We start from the raw sequence: 22333 nt of genomic DNA on the forward strand, positions 1-22333 counted from the left end.
AAGACCTCTACTTATGAAATAAAACTCCTTTGACTCCCTATTGCATACAGGATAAAGGTAAAATGCCTTGTAGCATATAATATATGGCATACAAGACCCTTAATTTATTCCTTAGTTCACTTATTCATTCAATACTTAAATATTCAATGGCCTGTAATAGGTACTATGCTAATTTTTATATAAATATAAAAACACGTGTGCTATTATATATGTATGTATAGGTATATACATATGCATGTGTATACACACACACACACACGCACACACACAAACACACAATTCATTTAGGCTCCAGGCTTCTCAGTCCTATTTTTGTGCCCCTCAGTCCTATTTTTGTACCCCTTGCCACACACCTCTTCACACAAGAGCCATCCTGAGTTATTTATCATTCTGAAAAAAGAACTGTTCATATTCCCAGCTCTGAGCATTTTATCTTATGCTTTTCTTCACATGTGAATCACTTCCCACCTTCTCTGACTTTTGATACTATTCATCTTTGAAGAACCATTTCAAATGTCATTTTCTCTGTGTACCTTTCGTTGGATTGCCCCCATCGACCCACCTCTTCCAGGCAGAATTAATTGTCCTTCCTCTGTGCTCCTGTAGCATTTTGTTTAGACTTCTATACTGGAACTGGTCATATTGTGATTTAGTTATTTGTACGTCTGTCTTTTCCACCATACCTGGGAGCTTTTTGAAGGCAAAAATTGTTTCCTCGATTCTCTATACCTGGTAGACTGCCTTGTACATAATAGTTGATCTACGAATGTTTATTAGATAATTGAATAGATGCTTGTGGATTACTGGCACCCTAGCAGTCTTTAGGAGCAGAACACATGTGATTGAAAGTCATTAAACAACCTTGAAAAACTGAGTATGCCACCTATCACAGTTTGGAATTGTGGCCAGAGCACAGCCTGCCTACTCTCAGGTTTTGCTGTTTTGACAAGGAGGATTTATCAGTGCAATCAGGGCCTTTGAAACTCTATCCTCATCTGCAGAGCCCACATTCACATAGACTTTATAGTTTATAATGAGATTTTAATGTCTGAACACCACCCACCTCAGTGGTCAGTGACTTGGCTTATTTAGGATTCATGTGGTATGAACTAGCTAAGAACAGAGAGCATGGTGGGCTGGGAAAGGGCAGGCCAATTGCTTTCTTTCTTTTTTTTTTATACTTTAAGTTTTAGGGTACATGTGCACATTGTGCAGGTTAGTTACATGTTACATATGTATACATGTGACATGCTGGTGCACTGCACCCACTAACTCGTCATCTAGCGTTAGGTATAACTCCCAATGCTATCCCTCCCCCACCCATAACAGTCCCCAGAGTGTGATATTCCCCTTCCTGTGTCCATGTGATCTCATTGTTCAGTTCCCACCTATGAGTGAGAATATGCGGTGTTTGGTTTTTTGTTCTTGTGATAGTTTACTGAGAATGATGTTTTCCAATTTCATCCATGTCCATAAAAAGGACATGAACTCATCATTTTTTATGGCTGCATAGTATTCCATGGTGTATATGTGCCACATTTTCTTAATCCAGTCTATCATTGTTGGACATTTGGGTTGGTTCCAAGTCTTTGCTATTGTGAATAATGCCGCAATAAACATACGTGTGCATGTGTCTTTATAGCAGCATGATTTATAGTCCTTTGGGTATATACCCAGTAATGGGATGGCTGGGTCAAATGGTATTTCCAGTTCTAGATGCCTGAGGAATCGCCACACTGACTTCCACAATGGTTGAACTAGTTTACAGTCCCACCAACAGTGTAAAAGTGTTCCTATTTCTCCACATCCTCTCCAGCACCTGTTGTTTCCTGACTTTTTAATGATCGCCATTCTAACTGGTGTGAGATGGTATCTCATTGTGGTTTTGATTTGCATTTCTCTGATGACCAGTGATGACGAGCATTTTTTCATGTGTCTTTTGGCTGCATAAATGTCTTCTTTTGAGAAGTGTCTGTTCATGTCCTTCGCCCACTTTTTGATAGGATTGTTTGTTTTTTTCTTGTAAATTTGTTTGAGTTCATTGTAGATTCTGGATATTAGCCCTTTGTCAGATGAGTAGGTTGCAAAAATTTTCTCCCATTTTGTAGGTTGCCTGTTCACTCTGATGGTCATTTCTTTTGCTGTGCAGAAGCTCTTTAGCTTAATTAGATCCCATTTGTCAATTTTGGCTTTTGTTGACATTGCTTTTGGTGTTTTAGACATGAAGTCCTTGCCCATGCCTATGTCCTGAATGGTAATGCCTAGGTTTTCTTCTAGGGTTTTTATGGTTTTAGGTCTAACGTTTAAGTCTTTAATCCATGTTGAACTGATTTTTGTATAAGGTGTAATGAAGGGATCCAGTTTCAGCTTTGTACATATGGCTAGCCAGTTTTCCCAGCACCATTTATTAAATAGGGAATCCTTTCCCCATTGCTTGTTTTTCTCAGTTTTGTCAAAGATCAGATAGTTGTAGATATGCGGCGTTATTTCTGAGGGCTCTGTTCTGTTCTATTGATCTATATCTCTGTTTTGGTACAAGTACCATGCTGTTTTGGTTACTGTAGCCTTGTAGTATAGTTTGAAGTCAGGTAGTGTGATGCCTCCAGCTTTGTTCTTTTGGCTTAGGATTGATTTGGCGATGTGGGCTCTTTTTTGGTTCCATATGAACTTTAAAGTAGTTTTTTCCAATTCTGTGAAGAAAGGCTTTGGTAGCTTGATGGGGATGGTATTGAATCTGTAAATTACCTTGGGCAGTATGGCCATTTTCACGATATTGATTCTTCCTACCCATGAGCATGGAATGTTCTTCCATTTGTTTGTATCCTCTTTTATTTCCTTGAGCAGTGGTTTGTAGTTCTCCTTGAAGAGGTCCTTCACATCCCTTGTAAGTTGGATTCCTAGGTATTTTATTCTCTTTGAGGCAATTGTGAATGGGAGTTCACTCATGATTTGGCTCTCTGTTTGTCTGTTATTGGTGTATAAGAATGCTTGTGATTTTTGTACATTGATTTTGTATCCTGAGAGTTTGCTGAAGTTGCTTATCAGCTTAAGGAGATTTTGGGCTGAGACAGTGGGGTTTTCTAGATATACAATCATGTCATCTGCAAACAGGGACAATTTGACTTCCTCTTTTCCTAATTAAATACCCTTTATTTCTTTCTCCTGCCTAATTGCCCTGGCCAGAACTTCCAACACTATGTTGAAGAGGAGTGTTGAGAGAGGGCATCCCTGTCTTGTGCCAGTTTTCAAAGGGAATGCTTCCAGTTTTTGCCCATTCAGTATGATATCGGCTGTGGGTTTGTCATAGATAGCTCTTATTATTTTGAAATACGTCCCATCATTACCTAATTTCTTGAGAGTTTTTAGCATGAAGGGTTGTTGAATTTTGTCAAAGGCTTTTTCTGCATCTATTGAGATAATCATGTGGTTTTTGTCTTTGGCTCTGTTTATATGCTAGATTATTTATTGATTTGCGTATATTGAACCAGCCTTGCATCCCAGGGATGAAGCCCACTTGATCATGGTGGATAAGCTTTTTGATGTGCTTCTGGATTCGTTTTGCCAGTATTTTATTGAGGATTTTTGCTTCAATATTCATCAAGGATATTGGTCTAAAATTCTCTTTTTTTATTGTGTCTCTGCCTGGCTTTGGTATCAGAATTATGCTGGCCTCATAAAATGAGTTAGGGAGGATTCCCTCTTTTTCTATTGATTGGAATAGTTTCAGAAGGAATGGTACCAGTTCCTCCTTGTACCTCTGGTAGAATTCGGCTGTGAATCCATCTGGTCCTGGACTCTTTTTGGTTGGTAAGCTATTGATTATTGCCACAATTTCAGATCCTGTTATTGGTCTATTCAGAGATTCAACTTCTTCCTGGTTTAGTTTTGGGAGAGTGTATGTGTCAAGGAATTTATCCATTTCTTCATAGATTTTCTAGTTTATTTGCGTAGAGGTGTTTGTAGTATTCTCTGATGGTAGTTTGTATTTCTGTGGGATCGGTGGTGATATCCCCTTTATAATTTTTTATTGCGTCTATTTGATTCTTCTCTCTTTTCTTCTTTATTAGTCTTGCTAGCGGTCTATCAATTTTGTTGATCCTTTCAAAAAACCAGCTCCTGGATTCATTAATTTTTTGAAGGGTTTTTTGTGTCTCTATTTCCTTCAGTTCTGCTCTGTTCTTAGTTATTTCTTGCCTTCTGCTAGCTTTTGAATGTGTTTGCTCTTGCTTTTCTAGTTCTTTTAATTGTGATGTTAGGGTGTCAATTTTGGATCTTTCCTGCTTTCTCTTGTGGGCATTTAGTGCTATAAATTTCCCTCTACACACTGCTTTAAATGCGTCCCAGAGATTCTGGTATGTTGTGTCTTTGTTCTCATTGGTTTCAAAGAACATCTTTATTTCTGCCTTCATTTCGTTATGTACCCAGTGGTCATTCAGGAGCAGGTTGTTCAGTTTCCATGTAGTTGAGCGGTTTTGATTGAGATTCTTAATCCTGAGTTCTAGTTTGATTGCACTGTGGTCTGAGAGATAGTTTGTTATAATTTCTGTTCTTTTACATTTGCTGAGGAGAGCTTTACTTCCAAGTATGTGGTCAATTTTGGTATAGGTGTGGTGTGGTGCTGAAAAAAATGTATATTCTGTTTATTTGGGGTGGAGAGTTCTGTAGATGTCTATTAGGTCCACTTGGTGCAGAGCTGAGTTCAATTCCTGGGTATCCTTGTTGACTTTCTGTCTCTTTGATCTGTCTAATGTTGACAGTGGGGTGTTAAAGTCTCCCATTATTATTGTGTGGGAGTCTAAGTCTCTTTGTAGGTCACTCAGGACTTGCTTTATGAATCTTGGTGCTCCTGTATTGGGTGCATATATATGTAGGATAGTTAGCTCTTCTTGTTGAATTGATCCCTTTACCATTATGTAATGGCCTTCTTTGTCTCTTTCGATCTCTGTTGGTTTAAAGTCTGTTTTATCAGAGACTAGGATTGCAACCCCTGCCTTTTTTTGTTTTCCATTTGCTTGGTAGATCTTCCTCCATCCTTTTATTTTGAGTCTATGTGTGTCTCTGCACGTGAGATGGGTTTCCTGAATTCAGCACACTGATGGGTCTTGACTCTTTATCCAATTTGCCAGTCTGTGTCTTTTAATTGGAGCATTTAGTCCATTTACATTTAAAGTTAATATTGTTATGTGTGAATTTGATCCTGTCATTATGATGTTAGCTGGTTATTTTGCTCGTTAGTTGATGCAGTTTCTTCCTAGTCTGGATGATCTTTACATTTTGGCATGATTTTGCAGTGGCTGGTACCAGTTGTTCCTTTCCATGTTTAGTGCTTCCTTCAGGAGCTCTTTTAGGGCAGGGCTGGTGGTGACAAAATCTCTCAGCCTTTGCTTGTCTGTAAAGGATTTTATTTCTCCTTCACTTATGAAGCTTAGTTTGGCTGGATATGAAATTCTGGGTTGAAAATTCTTTTCTTTAAGAATGTTGAATATTGGCCCCCACTCTCTTCTGGCTTATAGAGTTTCTGCTGAGAGATCCACTGTTAGTCTGATGGGCTTCCCTTTGTGGGCAACCCGACCTTTCTCTCTGGCTGCCCTTAACATTTTTTCCTTCATTTCAACTTTGGTGAATCTGACAATTATGTGTCTTGGAGTTTATCTTCTCGAGGAGTATCTTTGTAGCGTTTTCTGTATTTCCTGAATCTGAACATTGGCCTGCCTTGCTAGATTGGGGAAGTTCTCCTGGATAATATCCTGCAGAGTGTTTTCCAACTTGGTTCCATTCTCCCCGTCACTTTCAGATACACCAATCAGACGTAGATTTGGTCTTTTCACATAGTCCCATATTTCTTGGAGGCTTTGCTCATTTCTTTTTATTCTTTTTTCTCTAAACTTCTCTTCTCTCTTCATTTCATTCATTTTATCTTCCATCGCTGATACCCTTTCTTCCAGTTGATCACATCGGCTCTTGAGGCTTCTGCATTCTTCACGTAGTTCTCGAGCCTTGGTTTTCAGCTCCATCAGCTCCTTTAAGCACTTCTCTGTATTGGTTATTCTAGTTATATATTCAAAATTTTTTTCAAAGTTTTCAACTTCTTTGCCTTTGGTTTGAATGTCCTCCCATAGCTCGGAGAAATTTGATCATCTGAAGCCTTCTTCTCTCAGCTCGTCAAAGTCATTCTCTGTCCAGCTTTGTTCCGTTGCTGGTGAGGAATTGCGTTCCTTTGGAGGAGGAGAGGTGCTCTGCTTTTTAGAGTTCCCAGTTTTCCTGTTCTGTTTTTTCCCCATCTTTGTGGTTTTATATACTTTTGATCTTTGATGATGGTGATGTACAGATGGGTTTTTGGTGTGGATGTCCTTTCTGTTTGTTAGTTTTCCTTCTAACAGACCGGACCCTCAGCTGCAGGTCTGTTGGAATACCCTGCCGTGTGAGGTGTCACTGTGCCCCTGCTGGGGGGTGCCTCCCAGTTAGGGTGCTCAGGGTTCAGGGGTCAGGGACCCACTTGAGGAGGCAGTCTGCCGGTTCTCAGATCTCCAGCTGCGTGCTGGGAGAACCACTGCTCTCTTCAAAGCTGTCAGACAGGGACATTTAAGTCTGCAGAGGTTACTGCTGTCTTTTTGTTTGTCTGTGCCCTGCCCCCAGAGGTGGAGCCTACAGAGGCAGGCAGGCCTCCTTGTGCTGTGGTGGGCTCTGCCCAGTTCGAGCTTCATGGCTGCTTTGTTTACCTAATCAAGCCTAGGCAATGGCGGGCGCCCCTCCCCCAGCCTCGCTGCCGCCTTGCAGTTTGATCTCAGACTGCTGTGCCAGCAGTCAGCGAGACTCCGTGGGGTAGGACCCTCCATGCCAGTTGTGGGATTTAATCTCGTGGTGCGCCGTTTTTTAAGCTCGTCGGAAAAGCGCGGTATTCGGGTGGGAGTGACCCGATTTTCCAGGTGCCCTCCGTCACCCCTTTCTTTGACTCGGAAAGGGAACTCCCTGACCCCTTGCGCTTCCCCAGTGAGGCAATGCCTCACCCTGCTTCGGCTCGCGCATGGTGCGCGCACCCACTGACCTGCGCCCACTGTCTGGCACTCCCTAGTGAGATGAACCCGGTACCTCAGATGGAAATGCAGAAATCACCATCTTCTGCGTTGCTCACGCTGACAGCTGTAGACCAGAGCTGTTCCTATTCGGCCATCTTGGCTCCTCCCCCCAAAATTGCTTTCTTTTTATTAAGAGAAAATATCATCTATACAGCATGGAATTACAAAAAGCCTTAAGAAAATGCTGTGTAAATGAACAGCCAAAGTACCTTCCTGCAATCTAGACCGTGGGATCCCATATTTAAACTTATGCCTGTGCAACAAAATATTAGACAAAACAATACCAGAGGGAGAATGGTGGTGAACAGTTTTTAAACCTATGTAGAGTAAATATTTGTGGTAGTGTTTTCCTTTACACAGCATATGCAGTAGAATGACAATATAAAGGAAGTAGAACCCCATTTGTCAGGGGAGTAGGAAGGCCTGATTTTTATCAGCATGCTTCTATTGGCTACGTCTAAGTTAGCCTTTTTATAGAGCCACTGCATCTCATCCTTCCTTTTTACTTTTGTTCAAAGTCGAGTCTCCCAGCTCTTTGAGCTCTTCCTCAGTCACTCTAATTTCTGCTTTGATAGTAGATCCTAGACTTCTTTTACCTCTTTCCATTTTATTCAGTCCCTAAGTGTCATTCGCACATCCTCTGTGCTTCACCTAACTACAACTTGGCCAAAGCTGTTGCTACTAATTTCAGTTTACTTAGAATTAGTTCAATTGTTCAATTCCCACTTATGAGTGAGAACACATGGACACAAGGAGAACAAGGAGAAAACATGGACACAGGGAGGGGAACATCACCCATGGGGCCTGTTGGGGGATGAGGGGCGAGAGGAGGGATAACATTAGGTGAAACACCTAATGTAGATGACAGGTCGATGGGTGCAGCAAACCACCATGGCACGTGTATACCTATGTAACAAACCTGCATGTTCTGCACATGTATGTCAGAACTTAAAGTTTAATAATAAAAAAAGAATTCAATTTTCTTAAAGAGCTGATCAATTTGTGCGGAGATGTATAAAATCTGATTTTGAACTAAAGAAACTTACCTTACATCCTGATTAGATCTTTAATGTCATAAAAATGTAAACTGTACAGTGAAGGGGCCCTTAGCACACAATTGTTTAAAATCCACTACCCGTTGTGTACTTTTGTCCCTTCCTTTTCTAGTTGTTCCTTCAAGATATGGACTGGAGCCCATGAATGACACTAAAATGTGGCTCACCTACTCATCCTGCTGATTAAAAAAATAAACAGGAAACACATCACTTCTGGTGAATGTCATGACCAGGATGTTAGATAAAAACACCCTTAGGGGCCTTAACAATTTGTGGCCAGAATGACCTTTGTTTTTGCAGTTGTTTTTCAGTCTGCAAGGGGCCTTTCCATTTCCTCTTAGAAGGTATGAACACTGACCACAGCATTTTGAGGCCCAGGCTGTGCGGCTTAACTCTCTTGCATACAAGAACAAGGAAGAGAATAAACAGTTCCGTTTCCTGGGTAATCTTACCTTCCTCTTTCCTAATGTTGTTTTAGGATTTTTATCTTTGCACTTTTATTCCTTGAATTTTATGATGGGGATTGTCATATTCTCTGACTTTTCATGGATTTTATTAGAAATCACTTGTATCATCAGGCTTCTTGGATCTACCACTTTGGATTTGGTGCCCTTTTTGCTGCTCTTGGTAAGAGCTTTGTCTGCCATTTTCACATTCTTGATTATTTATGCTGCTTTGAATGTCCGTTTGAGAAAGTAATCAGATTTTTTTCCCTCTGAGAAAGCAGGGGAATGATCTTTTGCATCACTTTGCATAAAATTAACATGTTGATTTTCTATAAACCCATAGGTTCAGGTTAATTTACATAAACCTGGCATTCAGGAAGCTCAACCTTTACATTGTCAAGGAAAATGAAATAAATCAGGACAGCTGAAATTAAGTATATTCAAGCCATCAGAAAATGGGGTGGGCAAAGAGGCGCTATGGGGTAGAAAATTTCATAGTTCCTTATAGTTACACTCACAAAATCTTAATGTGTTAAGGGACCAGACAGGTTTTTCAATCCAGCCTTTTCCCAGTGTAGGAATCCCATTGAGAGCACACCATGCAAGTGATGGTCCAGCTGACAGTTACACTTGCAAAACAAAGTGCCTAGTAAAGCAGACTCTTTACTTTGGAATGCCTTTAATTGTTAGGAAACTAAAATCTGTTCTTTTGTGAACTCCTATTAATGGGTCTTAGCTCTGCCTCCTGGAATCAATCTAATCCAGTGGTTCTTAATTTGGAATCCCTGGACAAGGCTTAAATGAGTCCACAACCCCCCTGAAACTGTATGCAAAATTGTATGTGTGGGCATGTGTGAGTGTATGCATGTATCGATAGCTTTCATAAAATTTTCAAAGGGACATATGATCCTCAATCAGGGATAACTTTATAAGCATACAATTTGTGCAGCTGCACTAAGCCCCACACTTAAAAGGAATTTGTACTTGGATTAATGCTTTTCTGTTGCCATCCTGAAATTCTTAATAATTTTTAAACATAGAGCCCGAATTTTCATTTTGCTCTGGGCCCTGCAGATTATAGGGGAACTACCCCCAAAGACATGAAGTTATTAAAAAAAAACACTAAAATTTCTATAAAATGAATCATTGGATAGTTCTACTTTCAGGAGGCCTGTACCATCCTTCTGTTTACCTTCTGACCTTCTTGTGTTTCCAAACATTATCTTCTTGATTTAGAATGAAATGAGGGCAGTCTACTTCCTCTTTAAATTCTTTCCAATTTCTTCCCTGCCCTATATGAAAGATTCTTAACTTGGAATATTAACTTGGATTCATAACTTGGAATCCATGCCCATTATTTTATTTTACAACTTATCTAATTTATCTATATAGTATTTCAAACTTTGAAACCAATTTAACACAACAACTGTATTGTGTCTGAAGAAAATTAACCATTTTTATTAACACTGGGACAGTTCTTATCTTTTTATCCTTGGGTATCTGAAATTAGAGCACAGCGAGTTCTGTCAGAGCAAAAAATATACTTTTAAAGCAAATCATTCAGATGTATCCAATTCAATTTTACTAACTTCTGTCTTGCTTCATATGAAAGCTTTTAAATTGATCTCTTTCTTTGATTGATCAGGGTCTTTCCCCCTCACATATAATACTCTCAATAAATTTAATACACTGAAATGTATATTCTCATACCAAATAATTCACTTAATTTATAACATCAAATACAGAAAAACTTAATTTAAAATTTTAATTGCATATTTTATGTCAGCATGTTATTAAAACGAAGTTCATAACACATTAGTAATTTTATTGGAGAAGTACAAGTTCCCCTGAGGGTCAATAGGTAAATGTGTTATTACTCTTTGGTGACCTTGGACTCTGCTGTGGGAAGAATGCAAATCATAGCCACTCTGAACAACGTGAGAAAGAGAAAGAAAATAAGCTCTAGGACGAAAGTTTAAAAGTACTGCAATTATTTTTCCTTGGAATAAAGAAGTCTAAGGATAACCTGAAACAAATGAGGTATTTTTGATGAAGAAGAGTTGTCTTCTATATTCAAGAGAAATAGATGATTTGAGATTTAGGTTGACATTTGAAGAAATTTTCTTTTAAACTAATAGAATCATGTCCTGTGTAGGTTAGAGACTTACTTACCTAAGGCAAAGGCTTCAGCCAGATGATATCTTGAGGTTCCTTCAAATTCTAAGTTTCCACCCTTGGGCTTAAAATTCCACTTCTGTGATACACCAAGGCTGGCATGGACTCTTTTGCTGATTTGCCTTTCATCTTGGACTCTTCATTTTCATTCTTAATTATGTGTTGAACACATGTCCCTCCTGGGGAAGAATGAGTTTGGAAGTAATGAAGTTAATTTGTTGAATGGCTAGAATGACCACCCATAAATATCTAAGTGAGGATTGTCTCTTTCACCTTCATCATCTGGGAGGCCAAAACTGAAATATAGTTATTTCAATTTTGTTGTCATTACTCAAATGTTTTTGCATCTATTATTTGAGAACTCCCTTCAGAACCCATGGCATAATCTGGGTAACTCCAGTTTGGACCTAACCTTTGAGTGTGATTTGCTTCTTTAAGATAGCCAACAACAACAAAATAACCAACATACATTTGCACCCATATCTTACTAAGTAGGTCAGTGTGGTAATATATTTTCTGTGAAAATCATGTTATAACTGTAAGGTAATAGAGGGTTTCTTTGGCTTGCAAACAAATTGGATATGAAGGCACAATTAGGACAGAAATTTCAAAAAATTACAATAGATCCTAAAACTGTGCTAGTTGGTAGACTATATGGCTGGTGACTAACATAGGTGACTGCTTTGTTAACTAAAGGAAAATATTCATCCCAAATTTAAAAATCAAAATAGTCTCATTATATCATACATATACAGCCAATCAACAGAATAGAATCAGAGAATAATGGAATATTAGCTTTTGAAATCTCTTGGAGATCATTTTGTCTAATGTCTTCACCTCCACCTCTGTGATTCTCACATTCGTGTTTCAGCTGAAGTTTCATTCTGGGAAGACTGTCAGTGGACTCCCAAGAATAGCTTAGATTCCTTAGTGCCTGAGTCAGGGCCTAATAAATAATAGCTACTCAATAAATATTCATTGAATGAATGAGTATATGAACATATTTAGAGGTTTGGAAGAAGCTAGAAGAAGCTGGAAGTTACAGTGTCTTGAAGTTATTATCATAAATGTTAATAATTATTCAAAACAGCTAGGGGAGAAGAAGTAATCCGGTTGTATGAGCATTCTGATTGTTGCAATTCTAGTTAAATGAGATTTTTCTATAAACATATATGTAAAGATTGTCCTATCTCCTCAGATATTAAAAAGGGTTTTATTTTTTTAAGGCTATGTTTGGAATTTGAACCAAATTCGAATGTGACTGCTTCTTGCTCTTATAACTGCTAATTGCCAAGCACTGTATAGAATCGTTTGGCCTGACATTGCTTCTGAAAGGAGCTAACCATGCTCTGGTAAGAAGGGACCGGATCTATGGAAAAGAAATGCTCTGCTGTATACCTAGCTTTCACCTGATATACACTTCACTTCTTGGGATGTACACTTGCTGTATACTGCCCTACTGCACAATCTTCCTCACTTTTCTCCCTGCCTGGCATAGTTGTACCCATAGAACAGAGACCTGATCTACTTCAGCCACATGTAAAGAATCCATATGGATCAAGTGCTGGATGAAGATTCTGTACACCTTGATTCTAGTCCTGGGAATATCACTCTATCTATAGCACTGTGGTTAAGTACTTTCTGAGCCTTAGCATTCTCATGAAAAAAATAATGAGGGGTTTGGGCTTCATCCAAATTGTTCTCAAATTGTCTTCTGTGCATTCCTAGGGGTTCATTGGAGGCACTTCTGGGGCTAATACAGAGGTCAGAGAAAGAAGCAGAATGACGGGGACTTTGGGCTCACCCACTCCACTTCAACCACAGCAGCTTCACTTTTGTTTGATATGCTTCTGTGAAATATTTTGTTTGAAAACCATATGCACTGACATGGTGAGAGTGCATAATAGATATAATTTAGTCATTCAGGTAGGTGAAATGATTCCACCGACTGTTTCATGATCCAATATTATGGCTTTTTGTGTTGCTGATTGAACTGAATGATCATGCAACAATCTGATCAATTGCTGTAAGCAGCTATCTTCTTGGCCACCTGGCTGCATCTATTCATGTCAACTCAGCAGTAGCTTTAGATTAAAGATGTGAAAATTATGAGCCCAGGAATAGAAGAGTCTGGCTTTCCTTCTCATGGAGATTGAGGTGGGGGTATGTGAATAGTTCTGGGCAGGACTATATGGAGTTCTATTAATAGACCCTCCACCTCACCTACTTTTCCTTCCCTAGACCTGGAGCTGGACTTTCTATAAATGATTGCCTGCTTATATACTAAAAGCTAAATTGATCCAAGTAAGAGTCACACCCAGGGTACATTTTATCATTTTATTATCTCTCATCCTTTCAAACTCAATCGATTGTTTACTATAAGAAGCACGATTAGTGCTCCTAATAGGCTGACAGGAAGACATAAAGTACCCTAGAGATGGACCAGAAAAGGGGGAAATACATTTGGTCTGAAATATGAGTTTTATTTTCAGGTATCCACTGATCTGTGGTTCAAAGTGTGATGATTTCTCAATGGGAATGACCTGATTTTTTTCTTGGATTTTGTTACTATTTAGCATTGATTGTGTGTAGCATTTTCCATTTACCTAATGGCTAGAGGTCATGCAACCAGTCACCACTCTCATTCCAGCGTCACAGATGAGGAGCCAGAAACCCAAGGAGAAACTAGTAAGTTGGCTCTAGCTCATATGCTAAATTGATGCAGAGGTGCAGGGAACCAACATCAATTTTCTAAAACCCCTAATGTACATCTCCTTACTGGTTCCAATCTCCTCCTGCAGGGACACCATACAGTACAAATAAACCCTTCCACTAAGCTAGTTGGAGGCCTTGATTATAAAATGTCAGAGTGGGGCTTGTGCCTTGCCCTGATCTTTAGGGTCATCTGAAGAGCTTGCGCTGTGGCTTGACCTTATGGGAATAAAGCAGCAAATGCTTTAGGCTTCTTGTTGAAAACCTGCAGGAGAAGATGATTGGCAGTACAATTGTTGTGACATTGTTCATTTATGAAGCATCAGAAGTGGGTGTGTAGGCATGGCAGAGACACTCACCAAAAATTATTTGGTTTTGCTGGAATAAAGTGCATCTTGGATTGCTTATAGGAGGATTGTATTCAGGGTTCGTTTGACAATCTAACTTCCACACTCTGATTTGCCCAAAAAGCTGTGGCAGCACTGTGTTTGGAGTTATGGATTATCAGTTTTGTCAGCCAAGATAGCTTCTGTTTTCCTCTTCAACTCAAGGGTCAGCATTCTTTGCTCAAAAATATTTAAATCCATTTTAAAGTGAGCAGAATGAGGGAGCAGAAGGAAGGCAAATTGAGACAGAGACAGGAAGGGAGTGGGTAGATTATACGTAGAGTTAATAGTTGCTATGTGAAATTCAAGCTTCTAGGTTTATTTGTTCAATAAATATAAATTAAACACTCACTTGTTTGCCAGATGCATGCAAGAGGTAAAAGATTATTACCTTTTGATTCTCTTAACTGACAGAAACAGTAACCTTGAAAGTCCACTCAGGCATTACCCCTATCCTCTTCTTTCAAGACTTCCATGACTAATTGAGCAGTAGGAAATTGTTCCTGTTCCATTTCAACTTAATTGTGAAAATTTGTTCTCTTCTTGCTGTAAGATATGCTTTTATCTATTTGCACCTGCTCAATATACATGCATTATTTCTGTGTAATGTGGGTACCTGTTCGGCCAAGTTAGATAACTAAGAAAGAGGTAATTGAGGGGGCCTTGCTCTGGAGCTGTACCTACTTAGATTTAAATCTGATATATGCAATAGGTGACTACCTATGAAACCCTGAGCACATTGCTGAATCATCAGTACTTCTTCTCTACAGTGAAGTTATCTACTGGGCAAGAGTCACTGTAAGAACTAGAGAAAACATGTAGAAAGAATAACCTGGGGTGGGGGAAGGGGGAAGGGAAAGCATTAGGAGATATACCTAATGTAAATGACGAGCTAGTGGGTGCAGCACACCAACATGGCACATGTATACATATGTAACAAACCTGCACGTTGTGCACATGTACCCTAGAACTTCAAGTGTAATAAAAAAAAATTAGCCAGGCGTGGTGGTGGGCGCTTGTAGTACCAGCTACTCGGGAGGCTGAGGCAGGAGAATGGCGGGAACTCGAGAGGTGGAGCTTGCAGTGAGCTAAGATTGCGCCACTGCACTCCAGCCTGGGCAACAGAGTGAGACTCTGTCTCAAAATAAATAAATAATAAATAAATAAATAAATAAATAATAAAAACTTAAAAAAAAAGAACATCCACATAGGCCTTGCTATATGACATAATGCTCAATAGATGGCAGTTGTTTTGTTGTTGTCATATTCTTTAGATCAACATTTCCTTAGTTACCGTAAACAAAATCAGAATGTGAGAGTAGTCCCAAAGAGGGGTCTTTAGTTCTGCTTTTCTGGTCAGAGAGAACATTTTGTGTATTTAAGTTTAAAGGGTACCACCAGACAGTAGGTTTTATTATTTCTCTTATTTCACTTTTCCACTTTTCCATAACTAGCAGTCATCTGTAGTTTTCTTTAGTGCTTAAGGTGTTATGAAATATTCATATCATTTTATGAAAGGCTATTTACACAGAGGAACCAGATGTAACCGAGTGTACATACAAATACTGGCCTTATTTTTCACGCTTGGTAAGTAGCGCATAACTTGAAAGCTAAGAGAAGATACTTTTTGTTTTGGCACCAATAATTCCAGAAGAAGGGCATCCTATTAAAAAAATCTATTGATCTAAGAGGGACTAGAAATTTGGCTGAATATTTTAGAAATTGTTTGTTTGCCCTGAGCTTCAAAAACTCATGGCTTAGAGTTTCCTGGGAAGGGTAGAATCACTGAATAGATAGGGTCCAGCTAGCTAAGTTTCCTGGTCAGCCCCTGAAGAAAGTTTCATTGCATAAAAAGCGTAGATTTGTCTTCAAAGTTTTCCCCAACACTTTATCTCTGAGGTTTTCTCTATTCATCTTGAGAATAAAGCCCTGTTGGTGAACATAAATACACTCCCAGAGTTGCTTATCAGGCAAGACAGAATTGAGCAGTTGGGCCTGAACTCTCCCACCGTTTAAACCAACGTTCTCAAGGAGTTGTTAGAGCAATTTATGCTTCCCACATCTGTTCCTAGATGTTATGACTTGTTTATGGAAGCAATGTAAATACCAATTCTAACAACAGCTACAACTAATACTCAATGTTTACTCCATGCCAGATCCTGTGCTGAGCACTTGACATGTAAGACTTCCTTCAGTGCTTGCAACAACCGTACAATAGGTGCTACACGAAACAGAAGATTCTATGGTCAAAAAAAGCTCTAGAGCAGTGGGTAGAAAAAGTTGAAGGTGTTTCTCTACTATAGGATTTACCAAGGACTTGGAGTGTGCAGCTTTTCCAAGTGTATTGGAGCATGGAGGCATTTTTTCTCCTGTCTTAGTCCATTTGTATGGCTATAAAGGAATAACTGAGGCTGGGTAATTTATAAAGAAAAAGAAGTTTATTTGGCTCAGGGTTCTGGAGGGCGTTCAGGAAGCATGGTGCCAACATCTGCTTCTGGTGAGGACATCAGGCAGCTTCCAGTCATGGCAGAAGGTGAATGGGAGTTGGCACGTGCACATCACACAGCCAGAGAGGAGAAAGGAGTGGGGGGAGGTGCCAGGCTCTTTTTTAACAATCAGTTCTTGTGGGAACTAATAGAGTGAGAACTCACTGATTACCTCAAGGATGGCACCAAGCCATTTACGAGGAATCTGCCCTCATGATCTAAACACCTCCCACCAGGCCCCACCTTTGACACTGGAGATCAAATTTCAACATGAGATTTGGTGGGGACAAATATCCAAACTATATCATTCCCCAAGGGCCATCTGGAGAGATGGAACACCATTTGGGACATGCTATCCTATGAGTTTCTTATGGAACCCATGCTTATTAACTTTGGAAATTGGATCAAATTTCAAAAATTTCTGTCTTTGCCCTGGCCTTATCTTGTCCTTAAATAACCCATACTACCTAATCTTAAAACAACTTATAAGTTTATATATGTGTCCTGGAGAACTGGATCTATGTTGCTTATCTACCAAGTCCAAGCCACCATCATCCCTCAGCTAGACTATTACAGTCACCTCATACTCATTTTCCTGCTTCCATTCTTATCTTCTTGTAAACTCCTATCTATGCTGCAGCCAGGTTCGTTCTAAATAACAAAGAAACAACAAAAAACCAAAACTGTGCCACACTACTATTTTGCGGCAAACCTTTGAAGACTTACCATCACATTCAGGATTTGAACACTGTACCATCACCTACACAACTATGCATGACCTGAACCATGCCCATCTCTCCCCGCCAGGCTCCTGCTGCTGTAGCCAAACTGTCAGTTCTTCTAGTGTTTCAGACTAATTCCTGCTCGAGGCATATTCTAATTCCCTCTGTCTGAAATATTCTGTCACCCGTCTTTCTATTCCTACTCGTCCTTTGTTTCTTTGCTTAAATGCTGTTTTCTCAGAGAGGTTGTCACTAACCACCCCCAAAATTAGGTGTACCCAGTTTTTGTGTTCAATAAAGTTAAAGGGATTTTTTTTACAGTAGGACTTATCAGGGCCTTTGATATGTTAACATGTATTATGAATTTCAAGAGGGACATGGAGTATCCTGCTTTTTTTTCCTTCAGATCACTTATCACAATGTTTATTTGTTTAATGGCTATCTCCCCACTAGACTCTGGGTTCTATGAGGGCAGAAATCATGCCTCTCTACTGATCCTACACCCCCAACGCTTAATGCAGTACCTGGCACATGGTAGGGGATAAGTGTATGTTTGTTGAATGAATGAGGAAATGAATGTGATTCTTCCTGCTGCTGGACTGCCTTTTTACAGTGGGGCTGCCATGGAATGATTTAATATTTTTCATATAACCTCTTCCTACTAAGATTTTCACCTCTCTTGTTTAACCCAAGTCACTTTTGGAGGAAAAACTAGAATTATATTCAGCACTGATTGGTAACAGTTGAGGATTAATGAGAGCAATACCTGGCTCTTATATTTTTAAATATTAATCTTTTAAAATTATTGAATATTTTATTAACTATTTTAACTTTTTTAATATTTAAAATGATTTCCAATTAATGGAATTCTTTAAAACAGCTTTTTAAATTTTAAAAGTTCTAGTTCAGAGCAAAATAACAAAGTAAGATAATGCATTACAACTGTTGTTTCCCAATTAGCCATATCTATGGGAAGCAATCCTTAGGCCATGAAGTCTAAGCCCAATGTGCGCCTAGTACCATCTGACCTTCAAAGTTGGTCCAGAGACCCTGAGAGAAGGAAATGCCTTTATGAGTGCTGAGTCTGCAAATCCAAAAACCAACGTATAAGTACACGCTAAATATGTGTTGGTAGATTTTTATGTAAGACCTTGGTGGTGTTATATATATTCTTTCATCTGATCTTTCTTGTTACTTATGTAACACATTTTCATTGCTACCAAGCAGGATTACAAGTTCAATTGTGACCTATGGAACAAAATGACTGACTAGACCTTGTGATATTTTAAACCATGACGTGGGGTGCATTAACTGGGTCCTGCAACCAAATGAGGCACATGCTTACCTAATTTTCAGGGTCCTCTGGGCCACTTTGAGAGGGCTAGTGCAGGTAGAGCCAGCAGGATAACAGAACAGTGTACAGCCCAGAAGGTCACTTTCTGGTAGTTGGAAAGGGCAAGCTGTCCAGTGTTAGTTCTTTGACAAGAGCTGCCCCTAGGTCAGTGTACACACACATAAAATGTGTGTGAAAAGATGTAGACAAAAGGAATTCTCTGGGAGGTTATTAGTGTCAGTTACTTGTCAGTTACATCCAAGGGCCACAGCACTGCTGGTATAGCTTCCGTTGAGTTTCTGTGCCATATTTTGGTTTTACGGGCAAGCAGCCTTCACCAGGATATGCTAAAGAGTCATCAATGGATTAGTATCACTAACAAAAGGAAGATTCAACTTAATGAGAGAAAGTGTGCCTCATTAATGGTTGGGAAATTAAGCAGTCAGTTTCTAATCAATGCTAAGTGATAGAACTTCAGTGGAGGCTAAAGCTCATTAGTAGAATACACATAGATGGTAATGACCTCAAAGGTATTTAAAATATAGGTGAAAAGAACTACATTAATAAGGCAAATCTATTCCACCTGTCCATGACTTGGCTCACTGTTCCCCTGTGTTATCTGTATGTCATTTGGTACATTTATTTATGAGAATAAATTTGCATTTGTGTGGCGCAATTGGTTGGTATGCTTGGCTCCAACTCTGGAGAATAAATTTGCCTGATAAAATATATGGTTTTCAAATTTCTACATAGATAATGGATTATGAGCAACACAATAATTTGCTTTCATGAAAAAAGTCTATAGGAAGAATTGACTTATAATAAGGGCTTTGTTTATTCAGTAACTCATTTATTCAAGAATAATTGCCTTGAGGGAAAAATGGATAGCAAACCTAATGCAATAAATGTTTATTTGGAATTGTATTTAACTATTTCTTCCTTTTCTTCCTTGTGAAATGCTTTCTCAAATGTGATCTGTTAATAAATTATGCCAATATCGCCAAGGGCCTTGCTGAAGATGTTCATATTGAAATGTTCCAAAAATATGCCTTAGTTTCCCTGGCAGAAAGCCAATGGTGACATCAGAGATGGCATGACTATACTTCAAACAGGACAATGCATATGACAGCCAACTTACTAGCTCTATTCTTATCCCACGCTTGCCAAGCTACTGCAAAAGCCTCAAGTGGTAATGCATAGGTAATTTGTAAGTCTTGTATCTCCTTTCTTTCACCTGGCCAATCTGTCCTCCTTAAGAGGCAACTTGAAGACTACAACGAGGAGTTTTAATAAAATCGTACTCTCCTATCTTCTCTTCCTCTTGCCTATCCTTTAAAATTTCCTTTTCTTGTTCATTCTTCTCAGAAATCCTCAGTTGGTTCTGGCATCTTTAGTGAAAACAGCCAGATGAGGTGTTTATCAATTCCTAGGGCTCCTTTTGTTTTCATTTAGATAAGAAACTCCCCAAGGGTAAGACCTTTATTTCTTGTTTGGCGAAGTGCAACATTTGTTCACAGCTCTCTATCCCCGATAAATGGAATTAGGAAATATGTCTTGAAGTAGAGCCAAGCACTGATACAAAGGCATCCAGCCTGCTTTCCATACCCTTTGCTTAGGAGAGTGGTGCTGTGACAATAAATGGCCCCTGGTCATTTGTAATTGGTTAATGTCCAGGGGTAGAGCAATTTAAAAGTCTAGAGAGCAAAGTGTAAGAATGATTTTGGCTCTTTTGAATATTTCCCCAACCAAGATCATCGGTAGATTGTAAGATCTGCAATCAGTAGAGGTTCCAGATATTTGCAGGCTTTTAATTAATAAGGCTAAAGAATGGAATCAACCATTTTAGGAGCTCTGCAATGGTTACCATGTGTATCACATTGCTTAAAGCAGATGCTGCCTCTTGTCACGTCAGGGCCTAGCTTCTCCCTGAAGCCTTCTTCCCCTCATCCTGTCTCTGTTAGTTTTTCTTCTCTGTCATCCTCTACCACTTTCATACTTACCAGGCTCTGGGATTTCTTTAAAGGTCTACCATGTTGGATGCTCACTGTCACCTCAGTTGTGAAAACAGACTCATTTATACCTCAGGACATATGGCTGTTTTGGTTAAACTCCAAGGGCCTTGGTCTATTTATTTGTTGGAATCTTTCTAGTTTGTTATTAAATGACAGACAAGACAAATGAATACCACCTCTGGGTAAATTTACAAATTTTAATGACATTTCTCTCCATTAAGTTTTGACCTTAATAAGACAGCAGGGACCTTCATATAATAAAGTAGTTCATGCATTTTGTTTAGCTTTATAGACAGAGGAACACCAGAAGCATTTTCTCTTGAAACCAAAATGAGCTGTAAGCAACTGTACTGAGTCTCTAGAAAGGAATTAGTTTTGCCAGCGAGAGTTGAAACAAGGACGCTACTGCTATGTTCTGAGACCCTGAATTCTGTTCCAAAATAGATAAGACTGGATCTTGGCATCTGACTTTTTGTTTTTTCAGTGGTAGTCTGTTTTGAGTCACCTATATCTGTATGGTAACGATAGAGTGAGGAGCCATAAGTATTCATCCAGACAGAACAAGGACCTGAACAGTCAGGTCTTCTCAAGCACCAGATGGCTCTATTTTACAGAAAAGGAAAACAATGCCTAGTTAGGTAAAACAGCCAGACCAGAGTCACTCTGCAAGTTAGAAGTGGAATCTTGCTCTCTTGCTTGTGTGTTACTGGTTAGCACATCACTATCCTGAAGAACAATTAATAATATCTCATTTCTTGCCTTAGGAGAAGTCTTTTAAATTACTGGTGCCTCAGTTTCCCTTTTATATAGATGGGACAAATGACATCATAGTTTATTCACTAATCCATTCAGCAAAAATAGTCTAGGTACTACAAAGACAGCCATATATCAAATGTAGTCCATATCTGGATATATGCACTTTTTCTATCAAAAAGCTACACACAAAAATTACAATACACCTTATTTTGCACTGCTATAGAGTTTAGGACAATGTACTGTAAGAGGATTATATATATATATATTTATTATTATTAAAGTTTTAGGGTACATGTGCACAACATGCAGGTTTGTCACATATGTATACATGTGCCATGTTGGTGTGCTGCACCCATTAACTCGTCATTTAGCATTAGGTATATCTCCTAATGCTATCCCTCCCCCTTCCCCCCACCCCACGACAGGCCCTGGTGTGTGATGTTCCCCTTCCTGTGTCCATGTGTTCTCAGTGTTCAATTCCCACCTATGAGTGAGAATATGCGGGTTTCTGTCCTTGCAATAGTTTGCTGAGAATGATGGTTTCCAGCTTCCTCCATGTCCCTACAAAGGACATGAACTCATCATTTTTTATGGCTGCACAGTATTCCATGGTGTATATGTGCCACATTTTCTTAATCCAATCTATCATCGTTGGACACTTGGCTTGGTTCCAAGTCTTTGCTATTGTGAATAGTGCCGCTATAAACATACGTGTGCATGTGTCTTTATAGCAGCATGATTTATAATCCTTTGGGTATATACCCAGTAATGGGATGGCTGGGTCAAATGGTATTTCTAGTTCTAGATCTCTGAGGAATTGCCACACCAACTTCCACAATGGTTGAACTAGTTTACAGTCCCACCAACAGTGTAAAAGTGTTCCTATTTCTCCACATCCTCTCCAGCACCTGTTGTTTTCTGACTTTTTAATGATCGCCATTCTAACTGGTGTGATTATATTTTTAACAGTAGAAGCAGACTTTGCTGGACTCTTTCGAGCCCATGAAAGAAAAATGTAGGGTGTACATGCACAGGTATACCCTAAAACTTTTTGAAAATTGTGTATAAACATACAGTGTTTTCATCTCTTTTTCGTCATCATCCCCTGTCAAGCATGCATCATGTTCATACCATTGTACATGTGTTAGGAAAAAACTGGACCATTCAAAGATTG

At 39.2% G+C, this 22333-nt stretch overlaps 1 protein-coding gene across 1 annotated transcript in view, besides 2 other annotated features; it reads left to right on the forward strand.

Moving 5' to 3' along the window:
* IL1RAPL2 (interleukin 1 receptor accessory protein like 2) overlaps positions 1–22333 on the forward strand; it is a 1201631-nt gene that overhangs the window by 104738 nt on the left and 1074560 nt on the right. The gene's annotated exons all lie outside the window — the stretch shown is intronic.
* Positions 6268–6851: an enhancer, noted in NCBI's record as "NANOG-H3K4me1 hESC enhancer chrX:103921885-103922468 (GRCh37/hg19 assembly coordinates)". NCBI's record gives its function as "activates a minimal SCP1, AML or CMV promoter by ChIP-STARR-seq in primed H9 embryonic stem cells {active_cell/tissue: H9 hESC(primed)}" and the evidence as "EXISTENCE:reporter gene assay evidence [ECO:0000049][PMID:30033119]".
* Positions 18455–18956: an enhancer, noted in NCBI's record as "NANOG hESC enhancer chrX:103934072-103934573 (GRCh37/hg19 assembly coordinates)". NCBI's record gives its function as "activates a minimal SCP1, AML or CMV promoter by ChIP-STARR-seq in naive H9 embryonic stem cells {active_cell/tissue: H9 hESC(naive)}" and the evidence as "EXISTENCE:reporter gene assay evidence [ECO:0000049][PMID:30033119]".

Source organism: Homo sapiens, chromosome X (assembly GCF_000001405.40).
Source record: "Homo sapiens chromosome X, GRCh38.p14 Primary Assembly".
Taxonomy (NCBI): domain Eukaryota; kingdom Metazoa; phylum Chordata; class Mammalia; order Primates; family Hominidae; genus Homo; species Homo sapiens.